We start from the raw sequence: 24579 nt of genomic DNA, 5'->3' as shown, positions 1-24579 counted from the left end.
ATAGAGCACAATCTCTGTTCCACTTCTGCTTCCCCACCATTCTCCAAGACAGTGGTTCTCAAAGTGTGGTCCCAGGACCAGCAGCCTCAGAAGTCTGGGGATGGGTGAGGCCCAGCATTCTGTTTTAACAAACCCTCCAGGTGATTTTGTTGTGTGCTCAAGTCTGAGAACCACTGTGGACCTGAAAATTTGCATTTTTAATAAGACCTCACTCTTTGAAAATCTCTGCTCTAAGAATAGAAAAGAGGGGACAATGTGTGATGAGAAAGATCTCATTCCACCTAGAAAGCCCCCTCCCCATTTCCGAAGTCCCAATCGAACCTGTCTTTAAAGATCCACCCAAATGAAACTTTAGCTGATGCAAGTGAAAGTTATCCCTTGACAGCTTCCTGCATTTCAGGGGTGCATAAACCAAGGGCCAAATCCAGGTCACAACTTGTTTATGTAAGTCCCTCAAACTAAGAATAGTATTTACATTTTTTTAATGGTTGGAGGGGGTGAGGAACCGAAGAAGAATGTGCAGCAGAGACCATATGTGGTGTACAAGGCCTAACCTAGATACTCTGTCCCTTTACAGAGAAAAAAAAAAAAAAAATGCTGACTCCTGTTATATTTATGTGCTTTTCTTATTTTTCCTCTTAAACTGTTAACTTCTTAAAAATAGAGTCAATATCCGAGTCATGTTTGTATTGCATTCAGTACCAAACATATAGTAATTGTTCAATAAATATGGGAAGGGGCGGATGGTGGTGGTTGGGCAGCTGACAAGTGTTGTGGGAATCCAAAAGAGATGGACTTTTATACTTGACCACTTTGTGGCTGTCCTATCCATAAAATAAGAACAGTGTTTTTCTCCACCTTAAGTAGATGATGAACATCCAGAAGTTCGTACTAATGGAATTTACTCTAGTAACTAGATGGTGAAAAGCAGTTGGGAGCTGCCCTGCATCTTGAAAAACAAGATTAGTATTGAAAATGTCCATAAATGGATAAGTTAAAAATAAGCAAAAAGCTTAAAATTTCAGGTGGATTTCTGATGTCCAGTAAAAAGTTTTCACAGAATTATATGCTACCATGGTTAAAAGAGCCCCTAGTGATGATGCTGCACGAATTCCACCTGCCCCATGGTTGCCCAGCCTCTGCTTGAACCCCTCCACCGACTAGGAACTCACTTCCTCACAGCCAGCCCCACTCTACTTTTTAAACAGCTCCAGTGATTAGGAAGCACTTTTTTTCTATTCAGTTGAAATCTATCTTCTTATAATTTCCACTCTGTAGTCCTAGTTCTGCATACTTTAATTTGAAAATTAGCTACCTACGTTTCATAAATATGATAAAAGAAGTAGGGTAGAGTTATGCTTGACTGGAAAGAATGGGAGGTTGAGGGGGACCTATCCATTTAGATAATTTTCCCCTGCAAATAGGGAACAGGTTAGAAATACAAGAAGCTAAAAGCCAAGATGTATGCTAACAGAGGAAAGGCAAACTTACGAGTATAAAATGGAATAGAACATTCCAAATACGGCAGGAAGCAAAAGGCCGGTGGTCACAGTAGATCACAGGCTGACCACAGATGTGCATGCTATGTTTCTGCTAGAAAGGAATGTTAATAGCAATTAAAGGCTATTATTTGGGGCAAATGAGGGTAAGGAGGCCCCAGAGCTAGGCCCAGGGGACTCTGGAATTGCTTTGTGATTCCAGAGCTATGAAACAGCTGCCAGGACAAGTTGCCAGGGCAGAAGCAAGCAGGAGGAAATGTCCTGGGAAGGGCTGGGCCCTTTAAGTGGTGGCTGGGCCAAAGCAATGAGGCCTTCAAAAGGGAACGGTCCCAAAGAAGATGGAGGAAAGGAGTAGAGAAAGGAAGCTGGAAGTTCAAGTTATACTCCTGTTTATAATGTAATGTAGGCTTAAGATTAATCCAAACACCCTGAGAACTGATGAAGCATTGCATGAACAATATCCCCAAGAAGAATGTGTGTTGAACATTCACTGCTCTGGATTTCTAAAATGCTTTTACTGCACAGAGCTTGGAGTTGCGTGGGGGATTGAATCTAGTAATAGCAATCACCAACTAGCTTCGTCTCTTTCGCACCCCCCACACCCTGCCAAACACCCACCACATGCACAACCCGTGGCTTACGTCTGTCCTGGTTGTCACTTCTTCCAACTTCATCTGTAGGTGAGGGGGTTTTTTTTCTTTCTTTCTTTTTTTTTTTTTTTTAACAAGAACATTTCTTGGACTTGAGAATGGGGCTTTTGGGAGCCTGGTGGAAAGTTTGTGTCCAAGCCAGGACTAAGAGTGTAGTCAAAAATTGTAAGGGATTAAAAACCCACATGTTTGAGAATCTTCCCTTCTCCACATTCAAGGCACTCCCACGTTACAACCTGGACATGAGCTCCAGATTCAGACTATTCTGATTTATGCCACTTCATAGTTTTATGATCTTAGAAGTTACTTTACCTCTCAGAACCTGCTGCCTCATGTAATCACTGATCTAAAGCAATGCTGGAAGGATTAATCAGGCAGAGGAGACTTGATCATGATAGAATGATGCCCATTCTGTGCTGCACATGGTGCTGGGTGTTTTCTTTCTACGTATTTTTTAGGTGCTTGCATTTTCTTATTTACTTTTCCCAATAACTCTTCATAATTGCTGTCACTGGGCTGGGTGTGGTGGCTCATGCCTGTAATCTTTGGGAGGCCGAGGTGGGCAGATCACCTGAGGTCAGGAGTTCGAGACCAGCCTGACCAACATGGTGAAACCCTGTCTCTACTAAAAATACAAAAAATTAGCTGGGCGTGGTGGCGCATGCCTGTAATCCCAGCTACTCGGGAGGCTGAGGCAGGAGAATCGCTTGAACCTGGGAGGCGGAGGTTGCGGTGAGCCAGGATCGCGCCATTGCACTCCAGCCTGGGCAACAAGAGCAAAACTCTGTCTAAAAAAAAAAAAAAAAAAAAAAATTGCTGTCATTAGCACTGTTTCCCAGATGAGGAAACAAAGGCCTGTGGAGGTTAAGTAACCTGTCTCAGGTCTTCTAGCTGGGGCAGAGACAGGAATCAAGACAGCTTTCTCCAACTATGAAGCTCCTCCTCTTTCTTATAAATTATATTGCCTCTCTGAGCTTGTGCCCAGCATGTGGTGGGCATTCAGGAAAGGTGGGCATCCTCTATCCCCTCTCTCCTGTGGGACAGTTGTTTTTGTTTTGTATTACTTTTCAATTAAATGATTGCAAATGATTTTGTAAACATTGCTAACAGGACCAACCTTATGTGTAGATAATATATGTTGAAATACTTATGAACAGGAAAGGCCTACAAATGTTAGACATGCCCTAATTATTACTCAGAGTGTGATTTCAGGGATACCAGGCAGGGCCTGAGAGAGTTCTAGTTGACACATTTGCCTTAGACTGACGCTGCTGCGGGAGATGACTCTTGTGAGATAGGCTAGTAAACAGAAGGCTATGGGAGCCAAGTGAACTTCATAAGAACTGACTGGCCCAGAGAGGCCTGGATCGGAATAAGCACAAGTAATTCTGCCTCTTGTGCATGGACTTTGAAACCTGTGTTTCCGATCCTACACCTGCCATTTGCTAGCTCTGGGGCTCCGATAAGTTACAGGGCCTCTATGAATCTCAGTTGTCTTGTGAGAAAAATGAGGAAGTAGTGTCTGTACCAGAGGGTGGTTGTGAAGAATAAATGATATTATGTCCCTGAGCAAGCAATAAATGGCAAGAATTATTATCATTTACCAGTGGCTGGCCTGAAAATACTGGCCTCCTAATGGATAAAAGACCATCTACATACCTAATTAAGGCCCTTGTGATGGGAGACACCCCATCTATCCCTGGCAGTCTCTCTTTAGAATATATCAAAGAGCTTAAAGCCCCATTCCTTTAGTCTCCTTATAGGAGATGTAAAGGGAAACTCCAAGGGAGGTAGGCTGTATCCTTGGAAGAAGCTCTGGGGGGAGCATGCTCAGATCTTCACAAGAAAACAGGGCACCCCGTACAGTCACTGCTTCTCTAGGGCACTCTCAATGCTAGTGTTCATGAAAGTCAGCAAAATCCTTGACCCCAGAGTTACAAAGAGTTAAGTGGTACCTGTAGGGCCACTGGTAGGCCTAAGATACAGCCCGATTTCAGGGGTGGAGGAAGAGAAAAAGAAGGCCAGTAAAAAATTTCTAGATAAGTTTTTAGGCCCTTGAACTTTATTCTGAAAGCCTGATAATTAGCCACTTCCCATGATCCCTGTGTTGGCCTAGTCATACTTGTCAGGACATAGCAGCGGCAGAATGGCCAGCATACTACGGTTTAACCATCAGGCCAGTTCAAGGCTGAGCAGGAGCAGGAGAAAATGGCCAACTCTAGAAATAGTAGCTGTGTGTATGTGTATGTGCACATGCACATGTGTGCTGTGTGTGCACTTTGTGTATGTGCTGTGTGTGTGCTTTGTATGTGTGCAGGGTGTGTGTGCGCACACTGTGATGTGTGTGCGCACTGTGTGCTGTGTGCTTTGTGTATGTGTTATGTGCACTTTGTGTGCACACTGTGTATGCACTGTGTGCTGTGTGTTGTGCTCTGTGGGGAGATTTAGTATGGAGAGATTTTGTTTTTAAGATGAGGTCTCACTATGTTGCCCTGGCTGGTCATGAACTCCTGTGCTCAAGCAGTCTTCCCATCTCAGTTTGGGTAGCAGGGATTACAGGTGTGCGTCACCACACCCAGCTTGAAAAGATTTTTATAGGGATCTTTTTTTTTTGAGACAGAGTCTCACTCTGTCACCGAGGCTGGAGTACAATGTCATGGTCTCGGCTCACTGCAACCTCTGCCTCCCAGGTTCAAGGGATTCTCCTGCCTCAGCCTCATGAGTAGCTGGGATGATTATAGGCGCCCACTACCACGGCCGGCTAATTTTTGTATTTTCAGTAGAGACGGGGTTTCACTATGTTGGCCAGGCTGGTCTTGAACTCCTGACCTTGTGATCCACCAGCCTTGGCCTCCCAAAGTGCTGGGATTACAAGCGTAAGCCACCGCACTCAGCCAGGGGTCTTTTTTTTATAGCAGTCTTTTTCGTGACCTTGGTACTGAGATTTCTATGTATAAATCCCCAAAATGCATACCCTTACAAAGGCTAAACAAGGAAGAGCTGACTGAGATTATAACATAAAAAAATTTACTCTGGGCCGGGCACAGTGGCTCACGCCTGTAATCCCAGCACTTTGGGAGGCCGAGGCAGGTGGATCACCTGAGGCCAGGAGTTCAAAACCAGCCTGGCCAACATAGTGAAACCCCATCTCTACTAAAAATACAAAAATTAGCCGGGTGTGGTGGTGCAGGCCTGTAATCCCAGCTACTCAGGAGGCTGAGGCAGGAGAATTGCATGAACCTGGGAGACAGAGGTTGCAGTGAGCCGAGATCATGCCACTGCATTCCAGCCTGGGCGAGAGAGCAAGACTCCATCTCAAAAAAAAAAAAAAATTTTTATTCTGTTACTAGACCCAAGAAAGTTACTAGACCTGAGAACACTGTGCTGACTATAACTGGCTTGGATAGTGATCTTATTATAGGTCTCTGTTGCCCACAGGGCCTGAGACCAGCCGGTCTCAAAATCTAACTTTGAGTTTATTGAAGGAAATGATAGTATCTTTTTTCTCTGAGGGAAAAAAAGTCAACTTCTGTCCTACCTTAATGTACTCTCTTTGTAATCCATGCTTAAGCTGTGCTGGATGTTTTAAATGCATTGTTTTACCTATTATTTAAAACCAATGAAGTCTGCACTCTTGTCCATTTTACAGAGAGGCAAATGAGGCGCAGAAAGGTTACGTAACATGGCCAGGGTTGCATTCCTGTATGTAAACCCTGCCCTGGCAATGTTTGCTCATTTTTATGGAGTAGAACGTCTCTCCCCTTTTCTAAACTCTCTCTCATGATACTTTGCCTTTGTGTGATTTTTGTTTCCGAAATGCTTTCTCCTATTTATGTTGTTTCATTTTCCGGAAGCTCTGGGAGGTCGGGGTAAGGTATTATGATCTCCACATAATGCTGCTGCCTAGCTCCCACCTAGTCAATGTGTGACTGGGTCTAGTCCCAGCCTTTTGGCCAGGACCTTCTACATCTGCTTTTTGCAGTGACCACAGTCCCACACCCATCACTTCAACACCACTCATCTTTCATTTCCCCTCTCCATTCCCAAATCAAAATTTACATGTCCTAGGCCCTGTTGAGAGTAGCCATCTGGACCCACAAATTTGAGTAAAGGTGCTAATGGCTACTAATAGTTTCAAAGGTCCCTTCTCAGATAACATGGTATTTGCACAGTGTGTTTCGGTATTTTAACCTTGGGTTCCTCATCAGGAGGTGAAGAGCTTCCCAAAGAGCTTCAAGCTTTATTCATTCCTCATTTAACAAAATCTTACTGTTGCTGGCTCGGCACCATGTTAGGCATTAGGAATCTAAAAATAATGGAATCACTACCTAGTAAATAAAATCAGCTGTCCTGCTATGCTATTAAAGTTCAGAAGAAGGCACCAAATCTAGGCTGGGGTACAAAAAGGAAGTCCCTAAGAGGAACAGACGTTATAGCTGAACTGCAAAGGGTGAATGCGCTCCGGCCAGGGAGATGGAGAGTGAGGGGCCTGGGGAGTGGCCCAGGCAGAGGGAAAGGTCTGGGCAAGGGGTGAGACAGCATATGACTAATTCTGGAATCAGCTGTGTGGGAGCACGTGGTAGGCAATGAAGCTGGAGAGAAACAGGAAGATCCCTAAACAGAGTGCTGCCAACATTTTCTTTCCACGTGGAGGTATTTTGAGGTTTCAGCAGGGAAGAAACTATGTTTGGTAACTCTTCCCATCTCAAATTCTAGCCCCTTTTTGCAGGGACTTCATTATGACCATCTTATGGCATCAATGATGACTGCCCCTTTTAAATCTCATATTCAAATGGATAGTGGGGCCCCTTAGAGCAGTGGCTCTCATGCTTCATCAGCATCAGAATCTCCCAGAAGGCTGTGAGAACACAGGCTGCTGAGCCCTGCTCCCAGAATTTCTGATTCCGTAGGTCTGAAGTGGTGCCTGAAAATTTGCATTTTTGGAGAGTTGCCAAGGGACCACATTTTTGAGAAGCCTTGCCTTGGAGCATACAAAGCCATGATATTAACGAGGCTGTTTTTAATGCCTTTGCACCCTTTTTTACCATTAGTTTCAGTTGACCTTTTTAGGCTGGTCAGGTTGAGTATTAGGCAGCATAATAGTTCCCTAAGGCCGCCTTAACAAATTACCACAAACTGGGTGGCTTAAAACAACACAAATGTATCATGTTACCGTTCTGGAGGCTGGAAGTATGAAATCCAGGTGTCGGCAGGGCCATGCTCCCCCTGAGTCCTTCCTCGCCTCTTCCTAGCTTCTGGTGGCTGCAGGTGTTCTTTGGCTGGTGGCAGCATAGCTCCAATCTCTGCCTCCATCTTCACGTGGCTGGCTTCTCCCCGTGTGTGCCTGTTTTCACATGGCGTTCTTTTATAAGGACACTGCTTATATTTGATTAGGGGCCCATAGAAGACACAGAATATATTTTGCTCTGCCTTACAGCAGTGAGTCCAGGGCTGCCCAAGTCTAGACAAACTCATCCATCCCGTCCCCAAGCATTCAGCATCTGCACAGTGTGGCTTTCACTGTACATCCCTTCCAAAAGACAGCAAATCCTTCTTTTTCCTCCTCATATTCTTCAACCAACCAGCACCACCTTGTTATAGAAATACTTGATATAACCTGCCTTTTATAAATTAGGAAGAAAACAGTAAGGTTTCAGAAAGTTTACTCATTTAAATTTATAGTGTTTTGCATCACAATGAAATCATTCTGTTTGGATTGCTAGGACTATATGACCAGCTTTAATTCCTCATCCTTCACTTCTATTTTTGTTGGCCTTCATTTACTTACTTTGGTTTCTAGAGACACTAAAGGTGGCAACATGCAGAGGACAGGGGAGAGGGAGGGACCTTTTGAGATGGTTTGAGCTGCATCCATTTGGACTGCTCCCAGTGAGTCAGTGGCTTCAGACTGGAACAAATCAGGACACTTATGTTCATGCAGCAGCCGAGAGGTGTAAGGAGGCCTCCCCCAGGTCCCCTAAGTCTAGGGAGTCTGAATCTTCTGTTATTACTGCCTTATGCCTCTGGCGGAGGGGCATCCAGAAAGGAGAAGCAGAGCCACAGCAAAGGAATATGTTCACCCATCTCTTCAGACTCTCCATACCAAGCCGCCTCATGATAATACCAGCAGCCACGATGGGGCTGACGAGACTTCTCATTTCCTGCCCAGCTCTGATTCCATTAGGAAAAACCTCACCCTGCCTTACCCCAGGGCTTTAGGCTAGATTTGGAGAGAGGTTTTCAGTATCCTTCCCCTCTGCTTTCCCGGAACCTCTGTCACAGCTGTAATCCACAGCAAATGGATTTCCCTGACACTGGGGACAAAGGCCTAGTGTTTCGTAGACTTGGCGGCTCCTGGGAGGGCAGAACCATCAGCGTTTCTCCAGCTGCTGGTCTCAGGCCCTGTGGGCAGCAGAGACCTGTAATAAGATCACTATCCAAGCCAGTTATATTCAGCACATCATTCAAAGTGGCCCATTGCAGTTAGGAGGGGAGAAGTGACTTAAATAGGAATCATAGCCCTTCAGAGCCCGGGCTCATACAAAACCACACAGTGAGTAGGAACCCAGAGAAAAACAGACTTCTAGTTCTTGATGTTAGCCATTAATGAGATTTGGCTGTGATTTATAATGGGAGTCCGCAGGGATGGGTGGCCTTGGGGAAGAAATAAAGAACTAGTTGGAAGAGAAGGAAAGAATAAGAGTAGGAATTAAAAGGAAATTGAAAAGGGGTGGGTAGAATACTGAAAGCCTAGATACTGTGAAAGTTTAAGGATTCAGATTTTCTAATGTGGGTCACCAGAGGGAAGGATGTAAGGAGAGTCCACAGATGCCTCAGTAGCCCTTACTGAGACTGCAGAATGCCTCCGCTACTCTCCAGCAGCCAGAACTTTGAGCGGAAGGAAGGTGTGAAGGGGGAGATATGAAAGCTCTGGTTCAAAAAGGGGAACTGTAGAAAAAAAAGTTTTAAAGCTGTTATATGGGTCCACACTTACTAATTATGTTTTCTTCCAACTCAAGTTCCCTTCTACTAGGAGACCAACAATAAAGTGACATATGGCAGGACCCTAGCTTCTGGTTTCTCTGCAGGGCAAACTTCACCTCTCTCGTTGATAAGTCACCACCACCATGCGGGCAGGAGGTTTCCTGAGGTGCCTTCCATGGTACTGGATGAGAATCAGGGGAGCCATATCACCCCAAGTCACTTACCTCCCCCACACTGGGTCTCCGTTCTTGCATAGAAAAAACAAGGGAGATTATGGTAATTTTTGATTTCTCATACTGGTTGATGGATACACAAGCATATTATCCTTTATATATATATTACATAGAATATTTTGTAAGTATAAATGGACATTAATTAACAATTAGGGAATTAAATTCAGAGATATCAGTTCGTTTTCAACTGAAAATCTAGTATGCTTTGACACGGACTTCACCCAGTGTGGCTGAAATAATGGCTCAAGGTGAAGTTGCAGAGAGGATCATGGGAAGCGCTCTGGCTTTGGAGTCGGACTTGGTTTTGAATCCCAGTTCTATGATGACCTTACATAAATTGCTTAGATATATTTCTCATTGACAAAATTGGGATAATCATACCTATACCATAAGGGAGGTCATAGTATCTATGATAGTGCTTGACAAGTAGTAAGTGCTCAATAAATAATCACTATTATTAGTATAGACACCATTGATGGAAGGTACTGAAGTGAAATCACAGGTGGCTGATGTTTTAAACTAGTTGGTGAGAAATTTGTGGATGAGGTAGAGATTAAGCTTTCAGATGAGGAGTAGGATGGAGTATGGTGCATTTCAAGCAATTTTATTCAACAAACATCTATGGAACGAAGCACAAGGTATTATGGGAAAATATGACATGATCCCACCCCCAAGCAAATCACTTTCTTGTAAGGCTATGTTGTAAGTGCTAGGAGACAGGCAGGCACAGAGTGCTCTGGGAGCAGCCTTTAAGCTGGATGGCTTAAAGGAAGACACTGGAACCTAATTTGAAGGAAGCAAGAGGAGAAGAGTTGGGGGGGTTGCATTCAGTGCATATTTCACAGGAGAGACTCAAGTTGTTTTGAAGATCTAAGGAGTTGGTTACATGAAAAATTGAAGGAAGGCATTTCAGGGGAGGGGAATAGCGTGAGTGAAACCACAGCGGTAAAAACCACAGAGGTAGGAAGTAGCAAGGCAGCCAAATTCCAAATGACCTGGGCACCTTGGTCATAATGCTGAGACCAGAGAGAGTGCAAGTGTGGAAAATGAGGCCAGGAAGGCAAAATGGGTCAGATCATGGAGGGTTTCACATCCCACATGGAGCAGCTTGTGGGGTGGGGGCACTGGGTGGGCCCAAGAACAGAGGTAATTCAACACATGATGCAGGGACAAATGGATATTCACATGCCCAAACATGGAATAACATATGACCCAGAGATTTCACTGCTAGGTTATACCCAACAGAACAGAAGCAAGGACTTATATGCCGTGTTCATTCCATTGCAACATTATTCACAATAGCCAAAAGGTGGAAACCACCCCAGTGTTCATCAACAGATGAACAAACACAATGTGGTGTGTATGTAGGTATACAATGGAATACTATTCAGCTATCAAAGGGAAAGAAATTCTCATACATGCTACAACATGAATGAACTTTGAAAACATTATGCTAAGTGAAACAAGCCAGACACAAAAGGACAAATATTAATATGCTTCCACTTAAATGAGCTATCTAGAACAGGCAAATTCATAGAGAATGAAAGTAGATTAGAGGTTAGGGGATAGGCAGGGGACAAGGGGGACTGAGGAGTTATTGCTTAATGGTTACAGAGTTTCTGTTTTGGGTAATGAGAAAGTTCTGGGAATAGATGGTGGTGATGATTGCACAACAGGTGAGTGTAGTTAATGGTACTGAATTGCACACTTAAAATCTAGTCATATTCTGAACTTTCCTTCTCTATCCTTTACATAAGTGATTGAGAGAGAGAGCAGTCAAGAGAGTGAGAGAGCACACTTGAAAGACAGCCACAGCTATCAAAAGTGTGAGCTAGAACAGAGGGTGCAAGCTGGGGACAGAGAGCAACATGAGCATGCACTATCCAAGAAGTAAGAGAGAGTGTCTGTGTGAATTGAAGAGACAGACCTGCTGATCAAGCCTGGGATGGCAGATGCTCAGGGAGGGGGAGACTACAAGCGACAGGAGAGAGAGCTGGAGCATGTGCAGCAAGGGTGCGGGCACTTGGGAGAGCCACGGGGAGCCAGAGGCAGGAGACTGGTCAAGGGCGAGCAGCCCAGGAGGCAGCAAGAAGGTCGAGTAGGGGAGAGAGCTCATTAGAGGGAAACGGAGCTACCAGTCTGGATCAATCACAGCGGGGCAAGAGGGCAAGAGTGGGAGCAAGAGCGAGGGGGAGGACGTGCTCGTATTCCAGAGAGCCAAGGCAGAGTGAGGGAGGGTGAGCACACTGAGGATGGGCCCACCCAAGGAGCAGCTCTGAGAAATCAGTGGTGAAAGGGAGCATGGGCACAGGTGTGAGAGATGGCAGGGACCAGGGGCAGGGAAAGAGTGGGAAAACCAGGGACTGGGGAATCAAAAACTACTGACACAGAAAAGACACGGGTGGTTGGGGGTGGTAGTGGGAGGAGGGGCGGGACAGTGGGTGGGGGGATGGTGGGGGGCGGGGGGGATGGTGGGGGGACAGGGGGAATGGTGGGAGGGCAAGGGGGACAGTGGGCAGGGGAGACCGGGGGGAAGGGGGGGACAGGGGGGATGGGGGGGGCAGGGGGCGGTGGGGGGGTGGGGGGCAGGGGGGCAGTGGGGGGGTGGGGGGGCAGGGGGGCGGTGGGCGGGGAGACAAAGCCTAGAACTGGAGAGAGAAGAAAGGAAAGGCATGCTTGCCCACAGGAGGAGACAGGCGACAAGAGTGTGGGAAGTGCACTGTGCCCACGTGCCCAGGTTGCTGCAGTAAGTCTCTCTCCCCTGCATGGGGAGCAGTGGCTGTCCTGGCCTGTACAGTTTTTCTGTAAAGGAATGCCATGCTCCCTCAAGACTTTTGTCTTATTTCTTAACAAGATTTGAGTGTACACTCTCCACAGTGTCTGCCCTAGCTGCTACAAAAGGAAAAAAGAAATAGAAATGATAACCCCCAAACTGAGCAGTACTGGGGAGATAGCAACAGGACATTAATGATGACTTTGGCTTTTTGCACTAATCATGCTCTCATTAATGTGAAAAATTATATTTTCTTCCCCTCTTAAATGGGTATACTCTACAAGCAGAGGACTGAATGTCTGTGATGGGATGACAAATAAATATTATTTTTCCATGTAGGAAGGAATGGGTAGAAGGAACAGCCTCTACACAGCCTCTGTTCTAGCTCATGCTTTTGATAGCTGTGGCTGTCTTTCAAGTGTGCTCTCTTACTCTCTTGATTGCTCTCTCAATCACGTGAAGGATAGAGGAGGGAAGGTCAGAATATGACTAGATTTTAAGTGTGCAATTCAGTATGATTAACTACACTCACAGAAATAGAACTGAGACTTGATCATCCAGGATGTAGATTATTCTACCCTCTTAATTTTCTGCCCTATTTTCCCATTTTATTTTTTATATTTATAAGTACTTCAGTTGAGATTTTCCAGTGTGTAATGAAAAGCAAGAAATGAAACCCAATTCTGGCCAACATTTGGGAAAAGGGAGGTGAGACTTTGAACTAAGAGAAGATGTTGGGATTCTGTGAGGTAGTCTGTGTTTGAATGGAACTATCATTTACTGATTTGTTGCTTGATGATCCTTATAATTTCAATTGCACCTCACCTTTACAATTAGTTTTTCAGTTTCTGTGAGATCAGGAATTATACCTCCTACCACTTTTTATGCAGCCTAATTTTCCCTCCCTAGAACATAAGATAAAGTGGATTTTGACAGCGCCAAGACATAGGAAGTACTTGTTGACTTTGCTGCTTCATTGATTCCTGCATCATCATTATCATCATAAGCATCCTTAGCAAGTCAGTAGCCATAATAAGGCCCAGCACTGCGTGCAGCTCAGGACAAAGGGAATTAATTCATGGACAAGCACCTTGCTCTATGGCAGTAAAAGCAGACATATGAACATAAGGAAAAATCACTGCTTAAAGAGTAAGGTCAAGAGTGCAGCTTGCAGGCTGCTACACTGCCTTGGAAATCATAAGCAACTTGCTGCCTGCCACCTGGGAGTGGCTTGGGTTTCCAGACTCCCAACATTCCTGTCTTTTAGACTTTACCCACACTTTTTTCAGCCCACAGTGAAATTCCCCCAGTCTGAAGAAGGCAGCCTGAGCAATGATAACCCTGAAACTGAGCAGTATTGGGGAGATAGCAGCAGAATAGTAATGATTACTTTGGCTCTTTGCACTAATCATGCTCTCATTAGTATGAAAAATTATATTTTCTTCACCTATTAAATGGGTATACTCTACAAGCAGATGACTGAATGTGTGTGATGGGGTGACAAACAAATATTATTTTTCCATGTAGGAAGGAATGGGTAGAAGGAACAGCCTCTACACAGAAATGAGGATTTTTAAGAAAAGCATGGAAAAAGAAAAAAAGAGGAACTTAAACTCAGATCTGGGTGTGCCTCTCCCACCACCCTTTCCTTCTTTCCCAACCCCTCTCCACTGCCAAGCACACAGCCTCAAGGGAAGGTAGAATTTCCAGTTCTGTATTCAGACCATAGGATGGGCCCTGAAGGAATTTATGGCCCTCCTTACTGACTGGGATAGGAGATTCCAGAAGGTTCTGCCATTTCTGTCTTAGGAGAGACCCTATCTATTGGATCTGGGCAGTGTGAACCAGGCCACAAGAGCCAGTGCTTACAGAGCACACAGGATATGCTTGGCACTCTGCTGAGCACCTTTCATCATCACTTTTCTTTATGTTCACCACAGCCCATATCCTGTCACATCTAATTGATTAAGAAACAGGTCAGACAGGTGTGACATGCCAGGATTTCCTGGCTAGAAAGTGGCAGAGCCAGGACAAAGCCAAGTCTTTCTGATTCCACAACCTGAGATTTTAACCAGATTGGTCAGTATGGTACCCTGCTAAGCGTTAGATCCAGAGGGCACTCAGTAAGTACATACCTAATAAAGATAGATACCTCAAACACACTTGAGCTCTTCTGGCTTTGAAAACTAAACTAAATAAACACCTCAGTTTATTTGATTGCCTTCTGGTTTTGTCACCAGGCTGGAGTGCAGTGGTGTGATCTCAGCTCACTGCAACCTCTGTCTCCTGGGTTCAAGTGATTCTTCTGCCTCAGCCTCCCAGGTAGCTGGGACCACAGGCGCACACCACCATGCCCAACTAATTTTTGTATTTATAGTAAAGATGGGGTTTCACCATGTTGGCCAGGATGGTCTCGATCTCTTGACCTCGTGATCTGCCCACCTTAGCCTCCCAAAGTGCTGGGATTACAGGCATGAGCCACCGCACCCGGCCTTCTCTGTAGATTGTTAGTCCTGCTTCTTTCACTAGGTGGCTGTATAAATATGGACAAATAGTAAATTCTCTGATGTTCAGTGTCCCCACCCCAACGATGAAAAGGCTGATAGGGTGAGAGGTGATCCATGAGATCACTGCTAGGGAGAACGTTATAGGAAGTCTGCCTCCTTTCCTAGTTTTGCTTCCTCTGGCAAAATAAACAGGTCATAGGCTTTAGAATCAGCCAGACCTGATCTCAAATCTCACCTAGTGAACCAAGTCTGCCCTGTCCTTCTGAGGGCAAGTGTGTCTTAAGACCTCAGTTCCCAAGTGGTCGGGCATGGCGGCTCATGCCTATAATCCCAGCACTTTGGAAGGTCAAGGCAGGTGGATCACTCAGGGGCAGGAGTTCGAGACCAGCCTGGCCAACATGGCGAAACCCTGTCTCTACTAAAAATACAAAAATTAGCTGGGTGTGGTGGTGGTCGCCTGTAATCCCAGCTACTCAGGAGGCTGAGGCACGAGAATCGCTTGAACCCGGGAGATGGAGATTGCAGTGAGCCGAGATTGTGCCACTGCACTCCAGCCTGAGTGATAAAGCAAAACTCCAGTCTCAAAAAACAGAGACCTCAGTTCCCAAGTGGCCCCACCACAGACTGGAAAGCTGATGTATATACTGCATAGTCGTCACCTGGTATCCACTGAGGACTGGTTCCAGGAACCCCCTTGGATGCCAACATTCATGGAAGCTCAAGTCCCTAATATAAAGTAGCATAACATTTGCATATAACTGACCCACATCCTCCTATATACTTTAAACCATCTCTAGATTACTTATAATACCTCATACAATGTAAATGCTATGCAAATAGTTGTTACACTGTATTGGTTAGGGAATAATGACACAAAAAAAGTTTACGTGTTCAGTACAGACACCGTATTTTTTGAATATTTTTGATCCTGTGGTTGGTTGAATCCATGGATGTGGAACCCACAGATACAAAAGGCTGACTTTGTGAACATTCTCTAGTAAGCGTCTGTCAAAACATTCACTTCTGCCTCTTCCCTCCTAGCATCTGCCTGCCCTTCTGCCATCCGAGCGCCCTGACTGCGCCACACTGCAGGCCATGGAGAATGAGCTGCCAGTCCCACATACATCTAGCAGTGCCTGTGCCACCAGCAGTACCAGCGGGGCCAGTAGCAGCAGTGGCTGCAACAACAGCAGCAGTGGTGGAAGTGGCCGCCCCACCGGGCCCCAGATTTCTGTGTACAGTGGTATTCCAGACCGGCAGACCGTGCAGGTAAGAGTCTAATTGATCTGGGAATTATACTCCTTAATCATCTCCAGGGCTAGCAAGGAGGAGGTGTTGGCATGGTCTGGTGGGATAATCTAGATGTGGACTCTAGAACGGGCATATGGGAGTGAGTTCGTAGATACACATTTGTGTATAGTTACAGGGGGTGAAGGATGCAAAATGGCCCAATCAAGGAGTTTGGAGGACACGTGTGTGAAAGTATAAAGGGCAGACAAGTAACAATAACAAATAATACATGACCAAGAGCTGCTCAGCCACAACCCAGACCCACTCTCTAAATGACCATTGCCCGGTGAAGAACACATCTCAGTTTTTCAGAGACCAAAAGCCAAAGAGAACCCCCAAATAATCCTTTGTCATTGCAGCTTTTTACCTTCTCCCTTAAAGCAGCAGTTGGCAAATGTCATCCAGAAGGCCTTCCAGGTGGCGGCTCACTGCTCCTAAATGCAGTCAGGGCCATGCACTACCATCTGCTGTGTGCCTGACATGGTACTAAGCATTTTGCACGCTTATCCTTTTGGTTATTATTAGGCACAATTCTGTAGTTGAGAAAACTGGGGCTCAGAGAAGGTAATAACTTGTTCAAGGTCATTCAGGTAAAGACAAAAAAATTGAACCTCTCACCCCAGACCTGTGTTCTTAATCACTACAATGTTTTTTTGAGGTTCCTGGATAATACAGGCAGAAAAGAGAGACCACAGCTGAGAAGTGTTTACTCCCAGTGACTTTGCTATTACAGTTTGGATATACTAGAAAAGTGACCTCATCCTGCTTTGAACTTAGGCCCAGATAAGGGAACAAGGGAGAACCCACAACAGACAGTAAGAGGGCCTGAAAACCCAAGTTAAAGAAGATGCCATCAGATACCCTGGACTCTTCCCTCTCCCACTTATTTCTACCTCGTGCTTAGTGAATCCATGTTTCCTGCCCCTACCCTTGTCCCTAGCCCCAGCACCTGGCCCTGGCCCATCATGCATGAGAACCTTAGCTCTGATTTATAGCCACGGCATTCAGATATACCCACTCCTGCCACTCATCACAATTCTAGGCAAAAGGGGGTCTGGGGTCCTGTTCTGGCGAGTGGAATCACCCAAGGTTGCATGCAGAACCATCCTGGGCTCCTCCTGTCTCCCTTCATTGACATCTTCTCATGAGGAAGGGTCACAGGATCTCAACTACATGGGCTGGACTGCTGGGGAGGTCACTTTCAGGAGTCTAATAGAAAGGCCTAGGCAAAGGGAATACAGACAGATAATTCTGAGAGAGCAGGAGAGAAAAAGAATAGAGTTAAAATAAAACAGGGTATCGGAGAGGGGTGTTCACGTCAGAGGAGTGGAATCTGGGGGCAACATGTGGAAGAGTTGGGATGGGGATGTCTGGGGAGACACCAGAGCCCACGGAGGATCTGCTATAACAACAGGCTGTTTTTACAGAACCCCAAATCTGAGCCAGAGGCTGTTTTGTCCTAGAGCTGTCAGCCCTAGAAGTCACACCAACCTGGGGAAAGCCTGACCTGACCCTGGGCCCCGTTCTGGCAAGGCTTGCTCGCCGGGACAGGGCCCAGGGTCAGGAGCTGCCTGTGGCCAGGGATTCAGCAGAGGTAAGGGTAGAAAATAGGGGGAAGCCTGGTGAAGGCCAGTGCAGGGCATCAACTGGGAAGAGATGGCAGGAGGGTGACCAGTGGGAGAAGGGAGGAGAAATGTCTCTGGGACTCACAGGAAGAAGACAGAGGATCTTAGGGCTGGGGAAAGGCACTCGCTGTTCTTTGTTCCTGGGGATGGGGAGGATCAAAGGACAGCCTTTTGTCCTTTCCAGGAGATTGGCCAATCCCATCAGGAAAGAAGGAATAAGCAGTAAGGCCAGGGAATGGGAGACAGCAGCTAAAAAGAGGGAATGATGGAGAGAGAGAGGAAGGGAAAGAATTAAAGGGGGCCGGGCACAGTGGCTCACGCCTGTAATCCCAGCACTTTGGGAGACCGAGGTGGGTAGATTACCTGAGGTCAGGAGTTCGAGACCAGCCTGGCCAACATGGTAAAACCCCGTCTCTACTAAAAATACAAAAAAAATTAGCCAGGTGTGGTGGCGGGCACCTGTAATTCCAGCTCCTTGGGAGGCTGAGGCAGGAGAATCACTTGAACTAGGGAGGCAGAGGTTGCAGTGAGCCGAGATCACGCCATTGCACTCCAGCCTGGGCAACAAGAGCGAAACTCCATCCCCCCTCCAAAAAAAAGAATAAAAGGGGAGTGTGCTGTCCCTGTGGCACTGGCCTGCTCTGTAAGGCCCAGACAACCTTATTCTAAGGGATTGATGGGACTCTGAGAGGCTGTGGGCAGAGCTGGGGAGCAGCCCCAAGTCTGCCTTGCAGCCCCAGCCTCAAGAAGGAGGCATTGCCTCCACCTAAGTTTGCCTGTGGCTGGCTGTTGCTGAAGCTGGAGTAGGCCCCCTGCTGACTTGGCTCTTCCCTCCACCCCCATTCTTTTCCCTGCCTTATTGAGCTTCACTCTCATCTGAGGCTGCAGAGTGACAGAGGGAGAGGAGTGCCTGACAAGCCTGGTGGAGACCCTTCTGTCTCCCTGAGCCTCCCTACTGCCCAAGAGTTGGTTAAAGCACTGGCGTGCGGCTCTGATTCTCCTCACCGAGGCAGTTGATGCAGGAGCAGGCCGTGCTGGGGAGGAGCTGCAGAGAGAGGCAAGATAGACAAAGTTAGACATGATGAAGAAGCTCTGCGAACAGCTGTCCTCCCACTGCCCTAGAGAGTGGCCACAATTGGCTGTGGTGGTGGTCACAGATCTTGGTGTCTCCCGAGCAGTTATAGAGACCTGGGGTGGGCAAGGCATTACTGCCAAAGGGGTGTTCTGTGTGGCAGCTACCAGCCTGGCTCTTCCCCCTCCCTCCCTTCTCAGGTGATCCAGCAGGCCCTGCACAGACAGCCCAGCACGGCCGCTCAGTACCTGCAGCAGATGTACGCCGCCCAGCAGCAGCACCTCATGCTGCAGACCGCGGCGCTCCAGCAGCAGCACCTCAGCAGCGCCCAGCTCCAGAGCCTGGCAGCCGTACAGCAGGTGAGACTTGGGAAGGACCTTGAGGCTGGTGCCAGGCATCCTGGTTGTGGAAGCAAAAGGGAGAGGAAGCAGGCACCGCACCTGCGCTTCACATCCTTCTCTTACCTGCAACCTAAAGAAGTCCTTGTGACACGAGCACTACTGTCATTATCTCCTTTTGGCAGATGAAGGACAGAGCCCAGGGTCATGCAGCTAGTGACTATAGCGGCGGAATGCTAGCCCATGGAAGAAGTGCCGGGGAGCCCCTCTCCTAACCACCTTACCGCAGGTCTAGGGAAAGGACTGTGGGTTCCAGGGAAGCGTTCGTGAACGAAGGGCACTGCCTGTTTAGCTTGTCTGCCCATTGTTGCTCTCTCTCCTCCTTAGCTGAGAAGAACACATTCATTTATCCATTCAGAAAAACATTTTATGTACCTTCTGCATGCAAAGTTTGTATCAAGCACTGGGTATACTGAGCACCCTGTCTTCTTGGCACTTACAATAGGAGACAGCAAGTAAACAGGAACCAGAATAGCCAAGGAAACAAAATATTTAAATCTCTAAGTTACAATAAGCGCCATGAAAGAGAAGAACAGATTGTTCTGACTGAAGGGCAAGGTAGACGGCCTTGCATTGCATGGTCAGGAAAAGCCTGTCTGTTGGAGTAACACTGGAGCTGACACTTGAAGGATGAGAAGCCGGCCATGGGGAGAAGGGCAGTTTGGACACTCCAGCTCATGTCTGCAAATTCTCTGTGGGGGGCGGTGGCTGGGTGTGATGGCAGTGGCCAAGTGTGATGGCGGTGGCCGGGTGTGATGGCGGTGGCCAGGTGTGATGGTGGTGGCTGGGTGTGATGGTGGTGGCCAGGTGTGATGGTGGTGGCTGGGTGTGATGGTGGTGGCCGGGTGTGATAGTGGTGGAGTGGAGGGCTCCACACACCGAAGGCGGTGGCCTAATAGTTGGAGTGCTCAGTGGCAATGCCTTGCCTTATTCAGTCCTCTCAGCAATCCTATCAGGCAGGTACTGTTAGCATCCTCACCTATTCACAGAGGAGGCGGGATACTTGCTGTGGGCCACATAGAGGCAGGTTGGGGGCTGACCTCCAGAGGCTGTTGTCCTTAACACCAGCCTGCAGCACCTCCTGTGGATGATGAGAGCCCAGGAGTGACTGGGGGAGGTCTGGGACTCTAGCAAGAGGAGTTTGTTCTTTCCTAGGCAAGCCTGGTATCCAATAGACAAGGAAGCACTTCAGGCAGCAATGTGTCTGCGCAGGCCCCGGCCCAGTCATCTTCGGTGAGTAGAATGGGGGAGCAGCAGCAGAGTCCACAGCCCCAGGACCAAAATGCCCAAGTTCCCAGACCCAGTTGTGGTGAATCCGTGGCCATGTAGCATCATGGCTGGAATCTATTGCCCTTACCGGGAAGAAAAAGAAAAGGGCATGTCTCTTACTGACCTTTAGGTTAGTAACTCCCTGTCATCCTCCCAGTGTCAGGGCTCTCTGTGGATAGCTCAGTTCTCTCAACATGGGATCCCCCTGCAGCTCTGCACCAAGGTCAGAGATGGGACAGGGCTGGGGGATTGCTCCAAAGCCAAGGACCACAGACGTTCCTGAAGGAGGCTGAATAAACCAAGGAGCAAAAGAGGGGGGAGAAAGAAATGGATGAGGGGGACACAGCTCACCAACAGAACCTCCTATCTCCTACCGCACATGTCTCTCTCATTAGATCAACCTGGCAGCCTCCCCAGCAGCAGCCCAGCTCCTCAACCGGGCCCAGAGTGTGAACTCTGCAGCAGCCTCAGGCATCGCTCAGCAGGCTGTGCTCTTGGGCAACACGTCTTCCCCAGCCCTGACTGCAAGCCAAGCACAGATGTATCTGAGGGCACAGATGGTGAGTACCCATGGCCAGGGCCATGGCTCAGAGGCACCAGGAGGACAGAGGCAGAGAAGCTGGGAGCTGGGAGCTGGAGAAGGGTGGGGAGGAAGCACTAGGGGCAGGGGCAGGAGATAAGGGGTGGGATAAAGAAGGGGGCCTGGAAGGCTGAGTGGGAGCTTTGGTACAGCCTCGAAGAGTCATGAAGGGTGGGGCTCCAGACTGAAACAGAGAAAGTTCCTGCGATGCCACCTTTCCTTCTCCTCCTAGAGTGAAACAGAAGTGTCCCCTTATCAGAAACTCCTCAAAATTAATCAGGATGGGCAGAGTGGTTCATGCCCAGGTGGTCCTGGACACCCAGACATCCATATACTTGACAGAAATGGAGTCTTCCCCTTCCCACCATCCTTACAAGGACTGGCCACCTCTAACTCAAGGGCCAAAGATGCTTTCCAGCTTCAGCGTGCCTCCATTGCCCTCCCAGCGGCCCCCATTCTAATCAGGGTCAGGTGAGCTTGTTTGGGCAGGATATACTCAGGATAGCACCAACTCTTTCCTTTGCACCTATCCCTGAGGGGTGCAAAGGTCCTTAGGAGCCTACCAGGTCCCTAAGATTTAGGAGAATGCCCTGGGAAAATGGCAGCATACTCCCTGGGTGGCAGTAGCATGCAGCCCCAGCTAGGGCTCAGTCACTGTGGGTCGTGTCTCATACCTCCCATTCTGAAGTCTGCTCCTTCGGGCTCTTGACACACTATCCCGAAAGTAACACAGTCCCACCCCTCCCTTTGCTCTTATGGCCAGGACGTGACCCTCGGAGCTTGTCTGGTCTTGCTCCCGCACATTTGTTCTTGGCTCTGAGTTCATCATTTGAGGCGCATCTCTATCCCCAGGGAACAGCCTCTTAGACACAAGGCATGAAATAGACTTCCATCTCCTCGGGAACTGGACAGCCACACTGTGATGCTGCTGCCCAAAGCTGACTGTGTCTGCAGGTTGCTTGTCCCTATGTCCTACTCCACTGGGGTCGTGATGCCTGCCTGTCTGCCTCCCTCCCCAGAGCAGGGCATACACCCACAGAGGAAAAAGCACAGCTGCGCTATCGCAGAGTTCTAGGGAAAGCACCCTGTCAAGGCACCAGCACATCCACACTGATGCAGAGCTAGACTCCCACGGAGGTCGAGGTGTCATGCAGAGAACACCATGGATCCTGCACCCTGCAGGATGGGATTCAGACATGAGGACGGCTCCAGGCGGTCCGCTTCCTCTGCTGTTGTTGTCTCTAGGCCCCTCTGAATCTAACTTTGACTAGAAAATGACCAAAAGGATACATCGAACTTGATCCCCTGGAGGGCAGTCTCATCTTGGCTCAGCCCTGGGTTCAGCAGTGGGTTAGACCTGGAAGGTGGTCCTAGGGCATCCATCTCGCTTCCCAGGACGCTAAGGAGGTGGTGGCTTCAGCGTATCCTGGGGATATCGGTCTCCTCTAGGATGAGCCCCTCACAGAGGGTTCTGAAGGGAACTCGGCTTTGGTGTAGCCCCAGAGCGGCTCTCCCCACCCACCCCTGCACCCAGCCTGGGTCAGGATGCAACGAGCCTCTAGAGAAAGGCAGGCGCTCCCCTTGGACTCCCCCTTCCTTTCTGCTTCTACTGTCCTGCCCTTCCTCATAGCCGCTCCTGGGCTAAACAGTTGTGTCCTGTGGCTGAGTCCACATCGAGCAGGTAAAAGGCGCCTCGTTTCCTGTGATTCCAGGCCCAGCCAGGTAACCTGGTGCAGGTAGCTAGGAGCCTAGGCGGCACTGTTCCTTTGTCCCCTCAGCTCATCTTCACGCCCACGGCCACCGTCGCTACTGTGCAGCCTGAGCTCGGCACTGGCTCCCCCGCCCGGCCCCCCACCCCCGCCCAGGTGAGGACTCCATGCTTGTGGGAGGGCAGGGGGGTGGGCACCCCTGTAGAGGGGCACTGATACTGGGGAGGGGCACAAGGAGAGGCCGGGATCAGCTAGGAAAGCAGGCGGGAGACAGGACACCCCAATGCCCCCAGGCCTGCGCGTCTACCCTGTTCCAGAAGGCCTCAGTCCCTCCTGGCTCTGTTTCGTTCCCTCAAACACAGGTCAGGAGCCAGAGGGCAGCCTGCTGAGGCCAGCATGATTTGCCAGGGAGGGGTGGGCTGTGCTACCCTCCATACTTTACACCTGCCCCAGCATAGCTGGTCTGGCTGCTGCTGCTTCATAAGTGGAAAGTCCCGCTCCGGTTACACACGGTAGTGCTGCTAGGACTCGAGAAAAATGACATGTAAGAGGGAGCAGAGACGTGTCCTGCTCTGCTAGGAGCGCACAGATACTACCGTGGCTGGGAAGATTCTGTGGGCAGCCGGGGAAGGAACCCCTAGCACTCGCATCTCCCCATCCTCATCTACGGAATGGGGAGGGTGATGGGACAGGGCTGGTAGCCGGATTTTCAGAGTCTGGCACAGCCTCCCTGTGTCCAGCAGAGGGCGCCAGGGACCGGGCTGAGTAAGCATGCCGGCCGTCTTGGAAGAGCCGGTGGCAACCTTATTCTGAGACAAGATATTTGCCCGGTGGCCTTCCTGGTCAGTTAACTTCCACTTTTGCCCTGGCCTTTTCCAGTGTGGGAAGCCCCATGCTCCCCCTCACTGGGAATTATTTCTGGGTGGTGTGCATCCAATCCTGAAAGTGTTGGGGAGGAGGGAGGGCAACAGAAGGGACAGAGCCTGGCCTCCCCACCCCTGCCCGCCCAGCTGGGCAGCAGGTCCTTCTCAGAACTCAGCCTCTTCTGCTGCTGGATGCAGTCACAGCGAACCCTCTGGCCCTCTTTAGCAACTCCACGTGCTTCTGGTTCCTCTTCTAGCCCCTAACACATTCTCTCTCTCTGATTTGACAACCTCCTGTTCTATTCAGCCATTCCTGGATCCATCCCTCTCTCCCTCTTAGTTGTATACTGGCATTGCTCCTGCCACATTCTCTGGACTCCCACAGACCCCTCTTTTCCAGGTACAGAACTTGACCCTCCGAACACAGCAGACACCAGCGGCAGCAGCCTCGGGCCCCACCCCCACTCAGCCTGTCCTGCCCAGCTTGGCCCTGAAACCCACGCCGGGCGGTAGCCAGCCTCTGCCTACCCCAGCACAGAGCAGAAATACTGCTCAGGCTTCCCCTGCAGGTGCCAAGCCTGGCATAGCTGACAGTGTGATGGAGCCACACAAGAAAGGAGATGGCAACAGCAGTGTGCCAGGGAGCATGGAAGGCCGGGCTGGGCTCAGCCGGACGGTTCCTGCTGTGGCTGCCCACCCCCTCATTGCACCAGGTAAGGTCTTCAGGAAGCAGGAATCCTTTCCCAGAAAACTCAGGGCCGTGAGTCAGGAGGAGACTTTCACACTTTCCTTTTTCCCATGGATTTGCAAAGATACCAGCCATGGATCTCTCTCTCCTCCCTCCCTATCTCAAAATGTCCATCAGCTCCTGGCTCTGTGCCATGCTTCTGGTCTAACTTTACGCAGGGCAGCCATGTTAGTTGGAATAAAGGAGTCCTTCTGCACTGTAGGCACAGCGATGAATCAGGGTACGCAGCCACAGCGGTGGAGCTGTGGGCACAACCTGGAGTGGCTGGAGGCAGGCAGTTGAACTATTTTGAAATTCTCCAAGACTCAGCAAAAAGGCCAGGGGCTAGCCAGAAGCATGTAAGAACCAGACAGAGAGATGGGAATGTAGGAAGTTTATT

At 48.7% G+C, this 24579-nt stretch overlaps 1 protein-coding gene across 9 annotated transcripts in view, besides 1 other annotated feature; it reads left to right on the top strand.

The window, feature by feature from the left end:
- Positions 1 to 24579, top strand: part of PHC2 (polyhomeotic homolog 2) — a 107470-nt gene that overhangs the window by 39815 nt on the left and 43076 nt on the right. For 4 of the 9 annotated variants that reach the window (NM_198040.3, NM_001385109.1, NM_001385119.1 and 1 more), the window contains 6 exons: positions 15688 to 15915; positions 18834 to 18992; positions 20187 to 20264; positions 20696 to 20860; positions 22659 to 22745; positions 23853 to 24165. In NM_198040.3, the coding sequence (NP_932157.1) occupies positions 15742 to 15915; positions 18834 to 18992; positions 20187 to 20264; positions 20696 to 20860; positions 22659 to 22745; positions 23853 to 24165 (976 nt within the window). In that variant the 5' untranslated portion in view covers positions 15688 to 15741. Of the gene's footprint in view, positions 1 to 15687; positions 15916 to 18833; positions 18993 to 20186; positions 20265 to 20695; positions 20861 to 22592; positions 22746 to 23852; positions 24166 to 24579 lie in introns of all 9 variants that reach the window. The other 5 variants (NM_001330488.2, NM_001385122.1, NM_001385121.1 and 2 more) reach the window with 4 other exon arrangements.
- Positions 23643 to 24546: an enhancer, noted in NCBI's record as "H3K4me1 hESC enhancer chr1:33832336-33833239 (GRCh37/hg19 assembly coordinates)". NCBI's record gives its function as "activates a minimal SCP1, AML or CMV promoter by ChIP-STARR-seq in naive H9 embryonic stem cells {active_cell/tissue: H9 hESC(naive)}" and the evidence as "EXISTENCE:reporter gene assay evidence [ECO:0000049][PMID:30033119]".

Source organism: Homo sapiens, chromosome 1 (genome assembly GCF_000001405.40).
Source record: "Homo sapiens chromosome 1, GRCh38.p14 Primary Assembly".
Taxonomy (NCBI): Eukaryota; Metazoa; Chordata; class Mammalia; order Primates; family Hominidae; genus Homo; species Homo sapiens.
Note: the sequence above shows the minus strand (reverse complement) of the source record. Positions and strands in the feature narration are given on the sequence as shown.